At 44.0% G+C, this 17,916-nt stretch overlaps 1 protein-coding gene and 1 pseudogene across 6 annotated transcripts in view, besides 1 other annotated feature; one reads left to right on the top strand and one right to left on the bottom strand.

The window, feature by feature from the left end:
• Window positions 1-17,720, bottom strand: part of ZNF236 (zinc finger protein 236) — a 150,345-nt gene extending 132,625 nt beyond the window's left edge. For 3 of the 6 annotated variants that reach the window (NM_001306089.2, XM_011526168.3, XM_011526169.4), the window contains exon 1: window positions 17,615-17,720. In NM_001306089.2, the coding sequence (NP_001293018.1) occupies window positions 17,615-17,669 (55 nt within the window). In that variant the 5' untranslated portion in view covers window positions 17,670-17,720. Of the gene's footprint in view, window positions 1-15,870; window positions 16,518-16,927; window positions 17,159-17,614 lie in introns of those variants that run through there. The other 3 variants (XM_011526165.4, XM_047437793.1, NM_007345.4) reach the window with 3 other exon arrangements.
• Window positions 5,347-5,885, top strand: RPL26P35 (ribosomal protein L26 pseudogene 35; annotated as a pseudogene).
• Window positions 17,089-17,828: a silencer, noted in NCBI's record as "silent region_9561". NCBI's record gives its function as "represses an Ori minimal core promoter by ATAC-STARR-seq in GM12878 lymphoblastoid cells {active_cell/tissue: GM12878}" and the evidence as "EXISTENCE:reporter gene assay evidence [ECO:0000049][PMID:35858748]".

Below are 17,916 nucleotides of genomic sequence, written 5' to 3'. Positions count from 1 at the left end.
GTGATCCATCCGCCTCGGCCTCCCAAAGTGCTGGGATCACAGGCGTGAGCCACCGCACCCGGCCGGTCTCCCTCATTTTTTAAAGAAACATCGACCCCCTTTGAAATACTTGCTTTACTACCTGTAAATTTGTATTTCTAAAGAAAGACTGTAAACTTGGGTAAATGTATATTCATGCACTACACACACATTACCCAAATTTAAAAAAACCACAGCATATTAAATTATAACAAAATAACACCTCAAGTGTCTATAGCCTTACCTTTAACCAGAACTCTAAGAATTCTAGGCTCAGGATCTGAAAGTAACAGGGCCTTTCTGAAAATGATCCAGCAGCATATTGCAAAGTAGAGTGCTTCCATTGACAGTGCAAAAAACTAATTTTCTATATATAGCATAATTTCTTGTTTTGTTTGCTGCCATTATTCTGTTTTCACCTCTACAAACATACAATTTGTGTGAACATCAAAACAACACACATATTAACTTTTAGATAAATAGAGCTAAAGAGCGCCACAGAGAACTGTGGAGAGCCCATTCTGAGATTCTGTCCCCATGTTCAATAAAACATGCATCTTGAAAGGTGGATATCTGTATATCAAAATACAGATACACAGCAGAGACTGGGAAGACACTGATAAATACAGCACTTGGAGTCAGACGACTTGAGGGTGAGTCTCATTCCTGCCAAGAGCTGTGAGTCTCCAGCAAGCCAAATAAACTCTCTCAGCCTGATTCTTCACCCAAAGATAAAGATAATGATTTCTGTCCTACCTACTCACAGGGTTGTTAAGATCCAAGTTATATAATAAATATGAAATAACTTTTAAAATACTTTTTAAGATGCACACCCATCAGATGGCTACAACTAAAAAGACAGACAATACCACAGATTGATGAGAAAAGAAAGTAACTGGAAATCTCATATATTGCCAGAGGGCATGAAAATTGCTATAGCCACTCTTGAAAGCTATTTAGCAGCATCAACTAAAGCTAAATACATGCATAACTTATAATCCAGCAGTTCCACTCCTAGGTACATCTCCAACAGAAATGTGTACGTATGTGCACCCAAACGCCATGTTTAAACATTCACAGTAGCACAATTTACAACAGCAGCAACAAAAAGCAACACAGATGCCCTCCAACAACAGAAGGGGCAAATATGTTGGAGGAGATTTTATGATGGAATACTATCAAACAGTGAGAATGAGCAAACTTCTGCTCTACATAAAAACACGGACAAATCTCACATTTTTACCAAAAGAAGCCAGACGTAAGAAAACAATCTGTATGGTTTCATTTTATTTAAAAAGTTAAACAAATAGGCAAAACTAACCTACGTTGTTAGAAATCAGCAAAGTGGCTAGTCGCAACAAGGAGGGTCCTTACTGGGATGGAGCACAGTGAAGATTTCTTAGGGTGCCACTTAATGTCTTCTTTCTTAATCTAGGTGCTGACTACATAAGTGAGTTCTCTTTGAGAAAAATTCATTGAGCCAACCACAATTTCTGTTCTTCTCTGTGTGTTATATATCAATATAGTTTACTCAAAAGTAAAGTGCTATAATACATAACTTTCTTTTCTCTTCCTGTCTTTTCCTCTAGATTGGGGGTCAAGTAACTGTGGCCTAGCCTTTTTTGGTACACAAAGGTTTGCTGAAACTCAGGCATATAGCAGATCTGAGTAGTCACGACAGAGGCCGTACAACCTACAAAGCCTAAAACATTTACCACCTGACCCTTGACATAAAGAATACTTGCCAACTCCTGCACTACACTGTAAACTATGACTCCATCTGGAATCACAGCCATCACGACTGCAATCCCTGAAATTTCCACGACTTTCCACAGGTCACAGCACTCCTCCCACCACAGTGAAGTCTCTGAGAGATAAAGGCATTAAAGGTTTACATGCACTATGCATTATTTTCTACAGTAAAAAGCTCTAATGTTTACTTAACCATAATCTCCCTAAAGCTGATAAGGCCCTTTGTCTTAGTCATGGGATAGAAAGACTGGTTGTTCTCCTAAATAGTAACTTTATGAAAATTAACACAATAAAGACAGTTGTCTCTTTCTGACTTCTGTGCCCAAGATCAATGTACTTCACTCCATATGTTTTAACCCCTCCACTGAATGTTCTCTGCCAAGCATTTTCAAGCTGATAAATGTGATGATGAGTATTTGAGCCTAGTTTGCTGCCCAACAATGCAAAGGTATGTATTTCCTAAAAATGTGCAATGTCTTCTAAATATGACATGTACCACCAACAATTTGTGAGGTGACGTTAAGTGATACACAAATAACTAATTCTAATGGCTATCTATCCATTTTAATGTGTCTTGACATAAAGTATCATTGACACATCAAAACAGTATGATATTGGCAAAAGGACAGAGACACTAGTGAGAGTTCAGAAGTAAACACATATATTTATCATCCATTGATTTTTAACAAGAATGCCAGTACCATTCAATGAGGCAATAAACAGTTCTAGCCGAAGTGGATATACAAAGGTTAAAAACTGAATTCAAAGCCAGGCGCGGTGGGTCACGCCTGTAATCCCAGCACTTTGGGAGGCTAGGCGGGCGGATTGACTGACATTAGGAGTTCGAGACCAGCCTGGCCAACATGGTGAAACCCTGTCTCTACTAAAATAACAAAAAATTAGCCAGGCGTGGTGGCACACGCTTTTAATCCCAGCTACTCAGAAATCTGAGGCAGGAGAATTGCTTGAACCTGGCAGGCAGAGGTTGCAGTGAGCCAAGATTCCACCACTGCACTCCAGCCTGGGCAACAAGAGTGAAACTCTGTCTCAAAAAAAAAAAAAAAAAAAAGAAAAAGAAAAAGAAAAAAAGGAATTCAGACCTTCACTTCATACCATATACAAAAATTAAATCAGATCAAAGACTTCAATTTAACAACTAAAACTATAAATCTCCTAGAAGAAAAACATAAGGGACAAGCTTCGTGACTACGGATTTGGCAACAGTGTCTTAAATTTGACACGAAAAGCTACAAATAACCAGGAGGAAACAAACACAAATTCCACTCTATTAAAATTTAAAACTTTTGTGAAGGCTGGGCATGGCAGCACATGCCTGTAATTCCAGCACTTTGGGAGGCTTGCGGGGCGGGGGGGGGGGGAGGGGGTGCGGATCACTTGAGGCCAGGAGTTCAAGACCAGCCTGGCCAACATGGCAAAACCCCATCTCTACTAAAAATACAAAAATTAGCCAGGGGTGGTGGCACACGCTTGCAATCCCAGCTACTCCAGAGGCTGAGGCACGAGAATTGCTTGAACCTGGAAGTCAAAGGTTGCAGTGAGCCAAGACTGCACCACTGAACTCCAGCCTGGGCATCAGAGCAAGACTGTGTCTCAAAAAAACAAATAAATAGGCCGGGCGCGGTGGCTCACGCCTGTAATCCCCGCACTTTGGGAGGCCAAGGCAGATGGATCAAGAGGTCAGGAGATCGAGACTATCCTGGCTAACACGGTGAAACCCCGCCTCTACTAAAAATACAAAAAATTAGCCAGGCGTGGTGGCGGGCGCCTGTAGCTCCAGCCACTCGGGAGGCTGAGGCAGGAGAATGGCATGAACCCGGGAAGCAGAGCTTGCAGTGAGCCGAGATCGCACCACTGCACTCTAGCCTGGGCGACAGAGCAAAACTCTGTCTCAAAAAATAATAATAATAATAAATAAATAAATGAAAATAAAACCTTTGTGAATCAAAGGGCACTATCAAGAAGGAGAAAAGGGCCAGGCATGGTAGCTCACACCTGCAGTCCCAGCTACTTGGGATGCTAAGGCAGGAGGATAATTTGAGGCCAGGCGTTTAAGGGCAACATAGCAAGATCCTGTCTTTAAAAAATAAAACATAAAAATTTAGCCAGGCATGGTGGTGGGCACCTGTAGTCCCAGCTACTTGGGAGACTGAGGCAGGAGAATCACTTGCGCCCGGGGGTTTGGGGCTGCAGTGAGCTATGCTCGCACCACTGCACTCCAGCCTGGGCAACTGAAAGAGTGAGACACTGCCTCAAAGAAAAAAAAATTATAAAGACTGTATAGGCCAGGCGTGGTGGCTCACACCTGTAATTTCAGCACTTTGGGAGGCCGAGGTGGGCAGATCACGAGGTCAGAAGTTCGAGACCAGCCTGGCCAACATGGTGAAACCCCGTCTCTACTAAAAATACAAAAATTAGCTGGGTGTGGTGGTGGGCGCCTGTAATCCCAGCTACTTGGGAGGCTGAGGCAGGAGAATCGCTTGAACCCAGGAGGTGGAGGTTGCAGTGGGCCAAGATTGTGCCAATGCACTCCAGTCTAGGCAACAGAGCAAGACTTAATCTCAAAAAAAAAAGAATGTATAAATAGCAGGCTAATGGATGGAGAGGTATAAATGACATTTAAAAATGCTTTATTGAGCCAAAAGAAGGCAAGAAAGAAAGGGGAATATAAAATGATGAATCAAGTAGAAAACTATGTCTCAAAACGGCCTTAAATGTACTTAAAATCAGCATATCAATTAAAGACAAAGATCATCAGGCCATACTTAGAAAAGTTAACTATAGGCTGCTTGCAAGAGATATAACTTACATATAAGGATAGAAAGACAAAGTAAAAGAATTGAGAAATAAATACTATAGAACACTAACCAAAGCAGTCATGGTGCAGGTGTACCAACATCAAACAAAGGAGGCTTTAAGGCAAAAGTCATTACTAGATATAAAGTATGACTCATTTCATAATGATAAGAGTTACTATACCAGGAAAATATAAGATCTTTCAATTTGTATGGTTAAAAATGTAGCTCAAAATATAAAGATTGACAGAAGAATAGACAAATTCACAATCATAGAATTTAATATTTAATACTTTTCTGAGTAACTGACAGAAAAAAATAGATATATGTTCTTTTCAAGTGCACATGGAACATTTACCAAATATAACCACATAACATGAAAAGACCCAAGAAGTTTTCAAATAATTAAATAACTCAAGGTAAGTTCTCTGACAACAACCCAAGTAAACTAGAAATCAGTAACAATGAAGGTAATTTCAAAATTTAGCCACATCTTTTGCAATAACTTATGAGAACTCACAATAGAAATCAGAAAATAATCTTGAACTTAGTGAAGACAAGAATAAACCACATCAAAATTTTGTGGATGCAGTTAAAACTGTAGAATTGCCAATAGCCTTAATACCTACAACCTTAAATGTAGATATTAGAAAGTAAGAAAGGCTGAAAATTAGTTCAGTATCCATATCAAGAAGCTGAGAAAAAAAAAAAAAAACAGAAAATAAAATGTAGGTACAGAACCGGAAGCGGCGTATATGTAGTTCTCTTCCCTTTTGTGACCATCAGTGAAGCGGGAGCAGCCCAAATGAAGTTCAATCCCTTTGTGACTTCTGACCAAAGTAACAACCACAAAAGGCATTTCAATGCACCTTCCCACATTCGCAGGAAGATTTTGTCTTCCCTTCTTTCCAAAGAGCTAAGAGACAAGTACAATGTTCGATCCATGCCCATCCGAAAGGATGATGTTCAGGTTGTATGAGGACACTATAAAGGTCAGCAAACTGGCAAAGTAGTCTGGGTTTACAGGAAGAAATATGTCCTCTACATTGAATGGGTGCAACGGGAAAAGGATAATGGCACAACTGTGCATACAGGCATTCACCCCAACTGTGCACACAGGCATTCACCCCAGCAAGGTGGTTATCACTAGGCTAAAACTGGACAAAGACCGCAAAATGCTCCTTGAACGGAAAGCCAAATCTCGCCAAGTAGAAAAGTAAAAGGGCAAATATAAGGAAGAAACAATTGAGCAGATGCAGGAATAAAGTAATCTTATATACAAGCTTTCATTAAAACTTGAAATGAAAAAAAAAAAAAACCCTAAGGAAAGTAGAAGCAGGAAAATGATAAAGAGAAGAAACTAGTGGAATATAAAACAAACATCTATAAATTGAATTGAAAGTCCAAACTTGGATCTTTGAGAAGATTGTTAAAATTCATAAACCCTGCCATGACTAAGAAAAAAATAAGAAAAAGCACAATCTCCACCATCAGGGAAGAGAGAAGGGCCATTACTACAGAGCCTGCAGTCATAAAAAGATAATGAGATACTTATGAATAATGTTCTGTTAATAAATTTTAAAATATTAGATGGTTCTTACAAACAAAACTTACCAAAACTGACACAAAGTAAAATTTTAAACTTCAGTTGTCTTATATATACTAAAGAAACTGAATCTGCAATTTAAAATTTTCCCCAAAAGGCCAAGTCATGGTGGCTCATGCCTGTAATCCCAGCAGTTTGGGAGGCCGAGGTGAGAGGACTGCCTGAACCTAGGAGTTCAAGACAAGCCTGGACAACATGACAAGACCTCATGTCTATTTTTAAAATTATTTTAAAAATTAAAAATATAAAATTTCCCCACAGAAATCTCAAAGCCCAGATGATTCTAACAGGGAATTCTACCACAGATTTAAAAACCATATAATGTCAACCTTATTATAAACTCTTACAGAGAAAAGAAAATAAAGGAAGACTTCCCAACCTATTTTATGAAGCCAGCAAAATACTAGTATCAAAACTTGAGAATGGCAATATAAAAAAATAAAATTGTAGTCCAATGTGGCTCATAAACACAGATATAAAAAGCATAAAGTATGTACAAATCAAATCCAGATATACAAAAAAGAATAATATCGCAACAAGTTTGCCTGTATCCCAGGGATACAAGTTTGGCTTACCATTAGAAAAATCAATGTTTTTCACCCTATTAACAAAATATAAAAGAAAAATCACATGATCACCACAAAAAATACAAAGTAAACATGATAAAATTCAAGACCCATTCATGATAAAAAACTTAGCAAAATAGAAATAAAACTTATGTAATCTTATAATATCTACCTCCACCCCCCAAAAGAAACCCACAACAAGCACCCTAGTTAATAATATAATTTTCCTCCTGCAGTTGGGAACAAGTCAAGAATGTCCCTTATTCACCGCATTTATTCACCGTTATAGAAGAGATCCTAGCCAGTACAATGAGCTAGAAAAAACAGTAACGAAAGTGATAAAGATTGGAAATGAAGAAATAAACCTGTTGATATTTACAAATATGATTACAGAGAAAATTCCAAAAGAATCTACAGCTAAACTATTACAAATAATAAATATGTAAAAGACTTTGGATACAATACCAATTTTTAAAAACCAATTGTATTTCTATGAACAAGCAACATATAGAAAATGAAATTTTTAAAATACCATCAACAATAGTTTCAGGAAATATCAAATATCTAGGAGTAAATTTAACAATATTTGTATAAGTCCTGTATCTTGAAGTCCCAAAACATTACCAAGAGACGATAACGAGGAAAGAAATGATAGGAGAGATCATGTTTAGATTCAAAGACTCAAGATTGTAAAGACATTAGTTCCACCCACATTATCTATAGAGTCAATATAATTTGATCAAGATCCCAGCAAGTTTTTTTAGGAAAACTTATATGCTGATTCAAAAATCTACATGAAATTGAAAAGTACCAACAATTGTCAAGATGATCGCAAAAATTAAAAACTAAATGGAGGACTTATATTTCCCATACCAGATACCAAGACTCAGAATAGCATAATTAAGACAGTGTGAAACTGACTAGCCAGGAACAACAACAAAAAAAAAAACAGTGGAAAAGAGTAAGTACAGAACAATTCTTCACCTGATTTGCAACCATGTAAAAAAAAGACAAAAATGGTATTTCCAACAAATACTACAGATTAATTGGGTATCTATATGTGTAAAAAAAAAAAAAAATCCTGACCTTTCCCTCTTCAAATCACATTCAGATGAAGTGTCAATCTAAAGGTGAGACGTATAGCTGGGCACAGCAGCTCACACCTGTAATTCCAGCACTTTGGGAGGTCAAGGTGGGCGGACCACCTGAGGCGAGGAGTTGGAGGCCAGCCTGGCCAACATGGTGAAACCCCATCCCTACTGAAAATACAAAAAATTAGCCAAGTGCGGTGGTGCGCACCTGTAATCTGAGCTACTCAGGAGGCTGAGGTACAAGAATCGCTTGAACCCAGGAAGCAGATGTTGCAGTGAGCCAAGATCACACTACTGCACTTGAGCCTGGGTGACAGAGCGAGACCCTGTCTCAAAAAAATAAAATAAAGATGTAAAACAATAAAGCCTCTAGATGAAAACATAGGAAAATATTACTTATTTTCAAATATTATTTAAATAGATCCGAAAAGTACTAAAGGACTGACAAATTGTTATTAAGAACTTGTTTAATTGATTAGAAGGTATCTTTAAAAGAGTGAATAGGAGACTATAAAAAACTCATCCAGAGTATATAAAGACCTCCTATAAATCAGTAATAAAACGGCATACAGCCCTTCACCAAAGAAGATACACAGATGGCAAATGAGCCTATGAGAAGATGCTCAACATCGTATGTTAAAAATTAAACATACGATGGAAATTGCAAATTAAAATGAGATATCCAGTACACGCCTAACAGAATGGCTAAAATCCAAAAAACTAATTAATCCCAAATGCTGGTTAGGATGTACAACAGAAACTCTCATTCATTCCTGGTGAGAATACAAAATGGTACAACCACTTTGGAAAACAGCTTCGCAGCCTGTTAGAAAAAACTAAACATAGTTTTCCCATACAACCCAGCAGTCACAGTCCCCGAGATTTACCCCCAATGACTTGAGAACTTACATCCAACACAAACCTGCACACAAATATTTATAGCAACTTTACTCATATTGCTAAAAACTGGAAGCAACCAAGATGTCCTTCAAAATGTAAATGGATAAATGTGATACATCCATACAGTAGAATATTATTCAGCAACAAAATGAAATACCTATCAAGCCTTGAAAAGACATGGAGGAATGCATGTCTTACTCAAAGCCAATCTGAAAGGTTGCATACTGAATGCTTCCAGCTATGTGACATTCTGGGGAAGGCAAAACTATAAGGACAATAAAAATATCAGTGCTTGCCATTGGTCAGGGAAGGGATGGATGAACAGGCGGAGGAAAGGGCAGTGAAACTATTCTGTATGACACTATACGGCAAATATGCATTTGTCCAAACCCATGGGATACACAACATAGAAAATATATCCTAATGCGAATGATGGGCTTTAGTTAATAACAATGTATCAACATTGGCTAAATTTACTACACCAATGCAAGATGTTACCAATAGGAGAAACTGTGAGGAGAGACAGAAGGTGTCTCCATACTATCTGCTCCATATTATCTGCTCAATTTTGGGTAAGCATGAAACTGCTCTAGAAAAGAAAGTATTAATTTTAATATATGTCCCAGTAGAAAAACAGGCCAAGTCTTCAACAGGAGCTTAGCAAAAGAGAACAAATGGCTGACAAACATAAAAACTGTATTAGTATAGAACTCAAAATAAAAATCAAAATGAGATACCACTATACATACCAAAACAGCTAAACAATAAAGGGACAGGCCCATCTTGTCCAATCCACAGTCCACATGCAGCCCAGGACGGCTTTGAATATGGCCCAACACAAATTCGTAAACTTGCCTAAAACATTATGAGACTTTTTTTGAGATTTTTTTTTTTAACTCCACCAGCTATCATTAGTGTTAGCGTATTTTATGTATGGCCCAAGACAGTTCTTCCAATGTGGCCCAGGGAAGCTGAAAGATTGAATCTCCGGGGAGAGGCAATAATAAGTGCTACCGAGCCTGCGGAACAAATGCACGCTCATCCCCTGCTGGTAGGAGAGGAAGCCAGGACTGTCACTGGGCGACTGGCTGGCTGTATCCACTACGGCCCATAAATACATAAAAGTTTGTAGCAACACTTATTCAAAAGAGCCAAAAACTGGAAATAACCCAAATATCAAGAGGAGAAGAGTAATTTATGGTAGGTTCATATAATGTAATACTATATACTTATCAAAATAAACACAGTTCTGCTGCATAGCAACAGGAAAAATCTCATAAAAATAAATATTGAATGAATCAAGCCAGAAAAAAATACGGGTTCATACTATAAATTCAATTTAGTTCAAAAACAGGTAAAGCTGGCCAGGCACCGTGGCTCACACCTGTAATCCCAGCACTTTGGGAGGCCGAGGTGGGTGGATCACAAGGTCAGGAGATCAAGACCAGCCTGGCCAACATGGTGAACCCCCATCTCTACTAACACACAAAAAATTAGCCAGGCGTGGTGGCGCGTGCCTGTAATCCCAGCTACTCAGGTGGCTGAGGCAGGATAATCACTTGAACCCGGGAGACGGAGGTTGCAGTGAGTGGAGATCGCACCACTGAACTCCAGCCTGGCAACAGGGCGAGACTCCGTCTCAAAAAAGAAAAAGCAAAACAAAAACAGGTAAAGCTAACATGTCGTATCAGAAGCCAGGACAGTGCGGGGAAGGCCTGTGACTGCGAGGGGCACGAACACACTGGATGCTGGCTTGACAGGAAAACTCATGAAGCTCCTCACCTAAAACCTGTGCACTTTTCTAGGCAGATGTTTTTTGTGATTAAAATAGTTACTTAAACCTAACAACAAAGAGGTTTCAAATAAATATACACATTTCTGGCTTCTCTTAGCAATCATAAACCGGCTGGGTGCCATGGCTCATGCCTGTAATCCCAACACTTTGGGAGGCTAAGGCAGGGGATAGCTTGAGTCCAGGAAGTTGAGACCAGCTTGAGTAACATGGCGAAACCCCATCTCTACAAAAAATACAAAAATTAGCCGGGCGTAGTAGCACGAGGGTGTAGTGCCAGGTACTCAGGAGGCCGAAGTGAGAGGATGGCTTGAGTCCGGGAGGCAGAGATTACAGTGAGCCGAGATCATAGCACTGCACTCCAGCCTGGGCGACAGAGCGAGACTCCGTCCAAAAAAAAAAAAAAACCTCCCCCAGGAGATTCCATAATGCGTGAGTTGCCAAGGGTGAGAGCCACGCTCCAGGCCTTGCCATGATACTTCATGTGAAGAAAAGTTCTATGACAAAACATAGCTTGAAAAACACTGCTACTTTCTTGAAAGCAGAGACGCACTATCTCTGTACACACAGACAACATAAAGGCTTGAAATATAAAAAGCATTCCGAAAGTGTGGAATTGACTTTATCTAATAAGGAATTACGGTTTACACTATAGCTTTTCCCAAGCTCGTTTTGCATGAAAGACCAAGGTTTTAAACCCATGTGATGTCACTACTTAATGCCAGGATTATAAAATCTTTAGAGGTTATCTAATCACACTTCCTTCAAATTACTAAAGACTCCACGGTGGCTCACACATGTAATCCTAACACTGGGAGGCCAAGCGGGGCAGATTGCCTGGCTCAGGAGTTCAAGACCAGCCTGGGCAACATGGTGAAACCCCGTCTCTACTAAAATACAAAAAATTAGCTGGGCATGGTGGCATGTGCCTGTGGTCTCAGCAACTCAGGAGGCTGAGACTGGAGAATTGTTTGAACCCAGAAGGCGGAGGTTGCAGTGAGCCCAGATCACGCCACTGCATACCAGCCTGGGCAACAGAGCGAGACTCCGTCTCCAAAATAAATAAACACATACTCCAAATTTCGGCCTACCTAAAAAGTTCAATTATGGAGAGTGGAGGGTTTCATCCTTGGATAGACACCTGATATTGTTAGAAAGTTACTGTTTTAAGCAGAAGCTGTCTCCCTGAAGCAAGTAAGGACTGCACTGTTACCAGAAGCCTGAGGGGATTACAGCTCTGGCTGCCTCCTGCCGCTTCAAAGGATAAAGTCTGGCAGGCGTGGGGGCTCACGCCTGTAATCCCAGCACTTTGGGAGGCCAAGGCAGGTGGATCACCTGAGGTCAGAAGTTCAAGAACAGCCTGGCCAACATGGCAAAACCCCATCCCTAGTAAAAATACAAAAAATTAGCCAGGCATGGTGGCATGCACCTGTAATCCCACCTACCCAGGAGGCTGAGGTGGGAGAATCACTTGAACCTGGGAGGCGGAGGTTGCAGTGAGCCAAGATCATGCCACTGCACTCCAGCCTGGGTGAGAGAACGAGACCTTGTCTCAAAAAAAAAAAAAAAAGTAAAGCCCTACTACCCCTAGCTTACACTGGTGGTGCCTCCCCTTGGGCTCTTGAATTCATCCAAGAAAACTGAAAATTCCTGAACTGGTAACCTAATCAGGAAAAGACTTGTTTATCCATTGGGCTCATGGTCTGCCTGTCTCCGCTCTCTGGAAATGAACTAAGTATTACAAATATCCCTCCAAAAGGAAAAAGAAACAGCAGGAGGCCAACTAAAGGGGCAAGCTAAAAAGAAAAATTTTGCACTATTCCATTGGAGAAAACAGATGGAAATCATACAAGATTCCAAAATGTGGTTTCCCTCAAGGTCACATTATTGCTAAAATAATTATGATAAAGAAAAAAAGCATATCTCACTCATCCTTCTATCCCCAGGATAGTGCCAGGGACACATCAAGTGCTGAATGAATGCTGCCCCATCGATGCCTGTGAGACTCACTTCTCACGTCCTGACTACTTCAACAAATATTCTTTCAGTGGGCCTCTTCTTACTCATCTCTTTAGGCTTGAATTTTAACAACATTTTCTCCAGGAAGCCTAGACTTCAGGTGCCCAATCTGTCACCATGAACACTTTCTACCTTTATAAGGATACCTAGAGATCATGTCTCTTGTTCAGCTTTGTATTCTAGACCCTAGCACAGGGCTCACCTATCACAGGAAGTGCTCTAAAAATAGTTGTTCAGCCAGGCACGGTGGCTCATACCTGTAATCTCAGCACTTTGGGAGGCCACGTGGGGGGATCACGAGGTCAGGAGTTCGAGACCATCCTAGCTAACAGGGTGAAACCCCATCTCTACTAAAAATACAAAAAGATTAGCCGGGCATGGTGGCATGCACCTGTAGTCCCATCTACTCAGGAGGCTGAGGCAGGAGAATCACTTGAACCCAGGAGGCAGAGGTTGCAGTGAGCCGAGATCAAGCCACTGCACTCCAGCCTGGGCAAAAAGGGCAAAACTCCGTCTCAACAACAGGCCGGGCACTGTGGCTCACGCCTATAATCCCAGCACTTTGGGAGGGCGAGGTGGGAGGATCACCCGAGGTCAGGAGTTCGAGACTAGCCTGACCAACATGGAGAAACCCCATCTCTACTAAAAATACAAAATTAGCTGGGCATAGTGGCGCATGCCTGTAATGCCAGCTACTCAGGAGGCTGAGGCAGGAGAATCGCTTGAACCCAGGAGATGGAGGTTGTGGTGAGCCAAGATCGTGCCATTGCACTGCAGCCTGGGCAACGAGCAAAACTCTGTCTCAAAAAAAACAAAAACAAAAACAAAAAAATAGTTGTTGAATACAGGAATTAGTGTACATGAAGGGTTTTATATTTATCAAGGCAGAACACTAAAATGCATGCTTTTTTTTTTTTTTTGAGACTGAGTCTCCCTCTGTCACCCAGGCTGGAGTGCAGTGGCGCGACCTCAGCTCACTGCAACCTCTACCTCCTGGGCTCAAGCGATTCTCATGCCTCAGCACTCCCAAGTAGCTGCGACTACAGGCGCCAGCCACCATGCCTGGCTAACTTTGGTATTTTTTTTTTTTTAGTACGGCTGGGGTTTCACCATGGGGGCCAGGCTGGTCTCAAACTCCTGGCCTCAAGTGATCTGCCCACCTCAGCCTCCCAAAGAGCTGGGATTACAGGTGTGAGCCACCATGACAGGCCTAAAATGCATGCTTTGGACACAAATGGAGATCCAGTTCCCAACTGCCACTCACTAACTGGGTGGACTTTCCAAATCAGGTTTCCAGGCCGGTCGCGGTAGCTCACGCCTATAATCCCAGCACTTTGGGAGGCCGAGGCGGGCGGATCATTTGAGGTCAGGAGTTCGAGACCAGCCTGATCAACATGGTGAAACCCCGTCTCTACTAAAAATACAAAAAAAAAAAAAAAAAATAGCTAGCCATGGTGGCTCACGCCTGTAATACCAGTTACTCGGGAGGCTGAGGCAGGAGAATTGCTTGAACCCGGGAGGCGGAGGTTGCAGTGAGACAAGATCGCGCCACTGCACTCCAGCCTGGGCAATAGAGACTCCAACTCAAAAAGAAAAAAAAATCAGGTATCCGCTCTGAGCTTCATTCCCCTATCTGTAAAAATCCCTACATCCCTTGCAGAGTTTTCTTAGGAATGAAATTCATAATAGGGCAACAAAGAAAATAAAACCACTTCACTTACGAGAAATGTGATTAACACAGTAAGTGATAGAGCAATGTCCCTCATTTTGGTTTCAGGACCCCTTGATACATTCTTAAATGCAGCCCTCAGCTGGAAGCAGTGGCTCATGCCTGTAATCCCAAAACTCTGGGAGACTGACGTGGGAGAATCACTTGAGCCCAGGAGTTCAAGACCAGCCTGGGCAACATTGTGAAACCCCATCTCTATTTAAAACAAAACAAAAAAAAAGAGGCCCTAGAAGCCTTCTAGTTTATGTAAGTTATATCTATTGATGTTTGTCCTATTAGAAATTAAAACTAAGCAATTTTTAAAATATTTACTTATTTAAAATGTCTACTACACATTAACATAATTATTTTTATGAAAAATATGTCTTCCCCAAAAATAGTTAAGAATGGTTTTCATTTTTACAAATCTTTGTAATGTCTCGATTAACAGAAGACAGTTGGATTGTCATATCTATTCTGCATTTTCTCTGGTGCAACCTGTTCTTCTTGACTGTGATACATGAAGGTAATACAGCCTCACTCTTAGGCACCGCCACCACCACCTAGATTCGTGCTAAGATGTCAGCAGTTGTGCCAACAACTGCTTTTGTACAATTAGTGCAAAAATTAACAGAGTGAAAAAGCCTAACAGTCTTAGTCTATGATATTTACCTTACAGAAGCCTGAAAACATCTCAGGGAACCCCCAGGGGTCCAGGAACCACAGTTTGAGAACCACTTTGCTACAGGAGGACTGGTGTTCAGAAGGGAAAGGTAACTTTTAAGCAGGTTTGAGGAAGGCCTCTCTGAAGACGCTAAATCACTTGGAGCCACAAGACTAGCAAAAAGTGCTTCTCAGACTAGGAAATGGCAAATGCCCTAAGACAAAAACTAATGTGGCATCAAGGAACACAAAAGACTGCATGCCAGAGCAAGGAAAGAGAGAAGAGTCAGACAAGGCCCGATCAACAGGATCCTGGAGGAATGGGTTTCTGTTAAAGGGATGAGGAAGCCAATGCACGCTTTTAATCAGGGTGTAGCCATCTGATTTACATTTAACAAGTTCATCCACGCTGACAAGTGACAGATTTATTTACAGGAGCCCAGGACTAGCAGGGCCCAGGAAGGGGGCTCCTGCAGCTCTCCAGCCCGGAGAGGGAGGCTGGGTCAGAGGGTATCTCTGGAGATGGAAAGAGGAGGGCCCACTGGAAATACATTCCCGAGGTAGAAGCTGCAACACTAAATTAGGAAGTGTGTTGGGGGATAAAAGAAATAGAATAATTCTTGAGGCCTGAGGGTGAAACACCAGGTGGACAGGGATACCATCGGTGAGATGGGGATACTGGGGGAATGGGTGCCCCGCCTGTGGCCGTGGAAATTTTACATTCTTTCTCTATCCTAAGCCTTCTTCCAAGTAACTGAGACACTGCACCTTACATTATTTTTGGCAGATGGCATACTAACAAAACAATTAAACTAACGAAATAAGGTCAAGGCCAAAACTCAAAAGCGGGAGAGGCAACAAAGACTTCCTTAAAGGCCAGACACCATCAACCATTAATCAAAATTCTGAGCACTGCTGTTATCCAACTACAAATCTGCATACCTGGGTCATGGTGCAGCCAACATCTCTCCAGCAGCCCACAAAGGCCCATGAGGTGTGCGAAAGCTCGCTGAAACGCCTGTTGGTCACCAACGTTTCCGTAATGTGCACGTGTGTTAACTCTACCAAGTGCAATCACGACAAGAATTCCTGGTTTGGTGTGGCCTATGAATAAGTTTACATTGATTCCTACCCATTACCTCTTTCTTCCTAAACACAAAATTAACACAATCCTTTGTAGTTTCCAGGCCCGACCTTTCTCTGGGGCACCTGTGTTGTTTGGTCACAAGCTCTTTAATGAGCCTCAGTTTACTCATCCCCAAGAAAAGGGGAACACTTGAGTCACTAAGCTAAACAGTTAAATAAAAATCAACGGCAGTCAAGGTATAACCCACCGACTCCCATAGGGAGTCCTAGGCGCCCACTCCCCCTTAGAACCCCCTTCAAAACCCTTTCCAAACGCGGAGCGCCGCTCCAGTTGCACGGGTGACCAGGACCAGGGACCAGGCCTGCAGGGGGAGACTCGCGTCCAAGGCCGCACGGGAACCACGGCGCCCGCGAGAAAAAGCGCGGCGCCCCCTACCCCACTGCCCTCGACCTGGGAACCGCGGCACCGGCGAGTGCGCCCCGATCCCCCTGCGCAGGAAAGTCCGTTCCTCAAGCTCCGGGCTGGGGCTTTGGAAGGCAAGTCAATTCCTGACTGCTGGAAGGGCCAGGGTCTGGGGGTGCCCGGTTGTGTGTCTGCCTGCTCTTAAATTCTGGGCCTTTCTCCTTCCTTGGAAAACAAAATCTGAGTTATTTCATGACTTTAGCAAAGTACCATGGAGAATAAATTACTGGGGAAAACACTTCCTGACGCCTACTGTGTGCACGATCTAGCGCTCCCCACATAACACTGATGCCTACTGTATGCACGACCCACAGCGCTCTCCAGAAGCTCCAGGTTCAAGCTACCCGGATCACAATGGTGCCTACTGTTTGCACGACCCACAGCGCTCTCCAGATGCCCAGGGTTCCAGCCCCCCGGATCACAATGGCGCCTACTGTATGCACTACCCACAGCGTCTGCAGAGGCTCAGGGTTCAAGTTCCCGGATCACAATGGCGCCTACTGTATGCACGCCCCACAGCGCGCCCCAGATAACACTGGAGCACACTGTGTGCACGACCCTGCGCTTCCCGGACAACGCTGGCGCCTACTGTGTGCACGACCCCGCGCTCCACGGCCTCCCTGTGGGCCGAGCCCAACGTCCCCGGGGCAGCCGGCGCCGCGCAGGGTCGGGCGGGGGCGCCGTCCGGGAGGAGCCCGGGGCGCGGTATCCGCAGGCCCGGGCTCTGGCCAGGCCGCCTCCCCAGCGCGCCCCGCGGCCCTCCGGCCCCGGGACGGAACACGGGGCGGCCACTTTCCCTCAAGTTCAGCGCGGGCCGCGGCAGGGCCAGCGGGGGCAGGGCGCGCGCAGGAGGCGGCCGCCTGCTCCCTCACCCGCCTCCCGCCTCCCGCCTCAGCCGCCGCCCGGCCCAGGAAAGTAGGCCCAGCGCGCGGAGGGGCCGGGCGGCGACTCGCCCGTATCATTCCGCCCGCGCTGCGGCCCGCCCGGCCAGTCGGCGGCGGCGGCGGCCCGGGTCTGCGCGGCCCCCGCCCCCGCCCCGCCGCTCCCGGCGCCCCCCGCGCCGCATCCGGGGACTGGCAGGGCGCGGGCCCCGCACCGGCCGCCGGCGGGGCGCGAGGGCGCGGCCGCGGGCCTTACCGGAGTCGCCGCGCGCCTTGCTCTCCCTGGGCTTCGGGGGGCGGCCCCGCGGCATCGTCGGCGGCCCGGCTCGCACCCACACCCACTCACACTCACACTCACACTCACACGCGGCGGCGGGGGCGCGCACGCGCGGGCACCGGGGCGGGGGCGCGCCCAGCCGGCGCTAGAGGCGGGCGGAGCTGCCCGGCGGCGGGCGGCCCGGTCCGAGCGCCGCCGGGCTCACGGGGGAAAGGCGCCTGAACGCGCGCACCGGAGCGCTCGAACCGCGCCGGCCTTGGCAGGTTCCATGGCCCGCGGGC

Source organism: Homo sapiens, chromosome 18, assembly GCF_000001405.40.
Source record: "Homo sapiens chromosome 18, GRCh38.p14 Primary Assembly".
Taxonomy (NCBI): Eukaryota; Metazoa; Chordata; class Mammalia; order Primates; family Hominidae; genus Homo; species Homo sapiens.
This window is presented reverse-complemented; position numbering and strand designations above follow the sequence as displayed.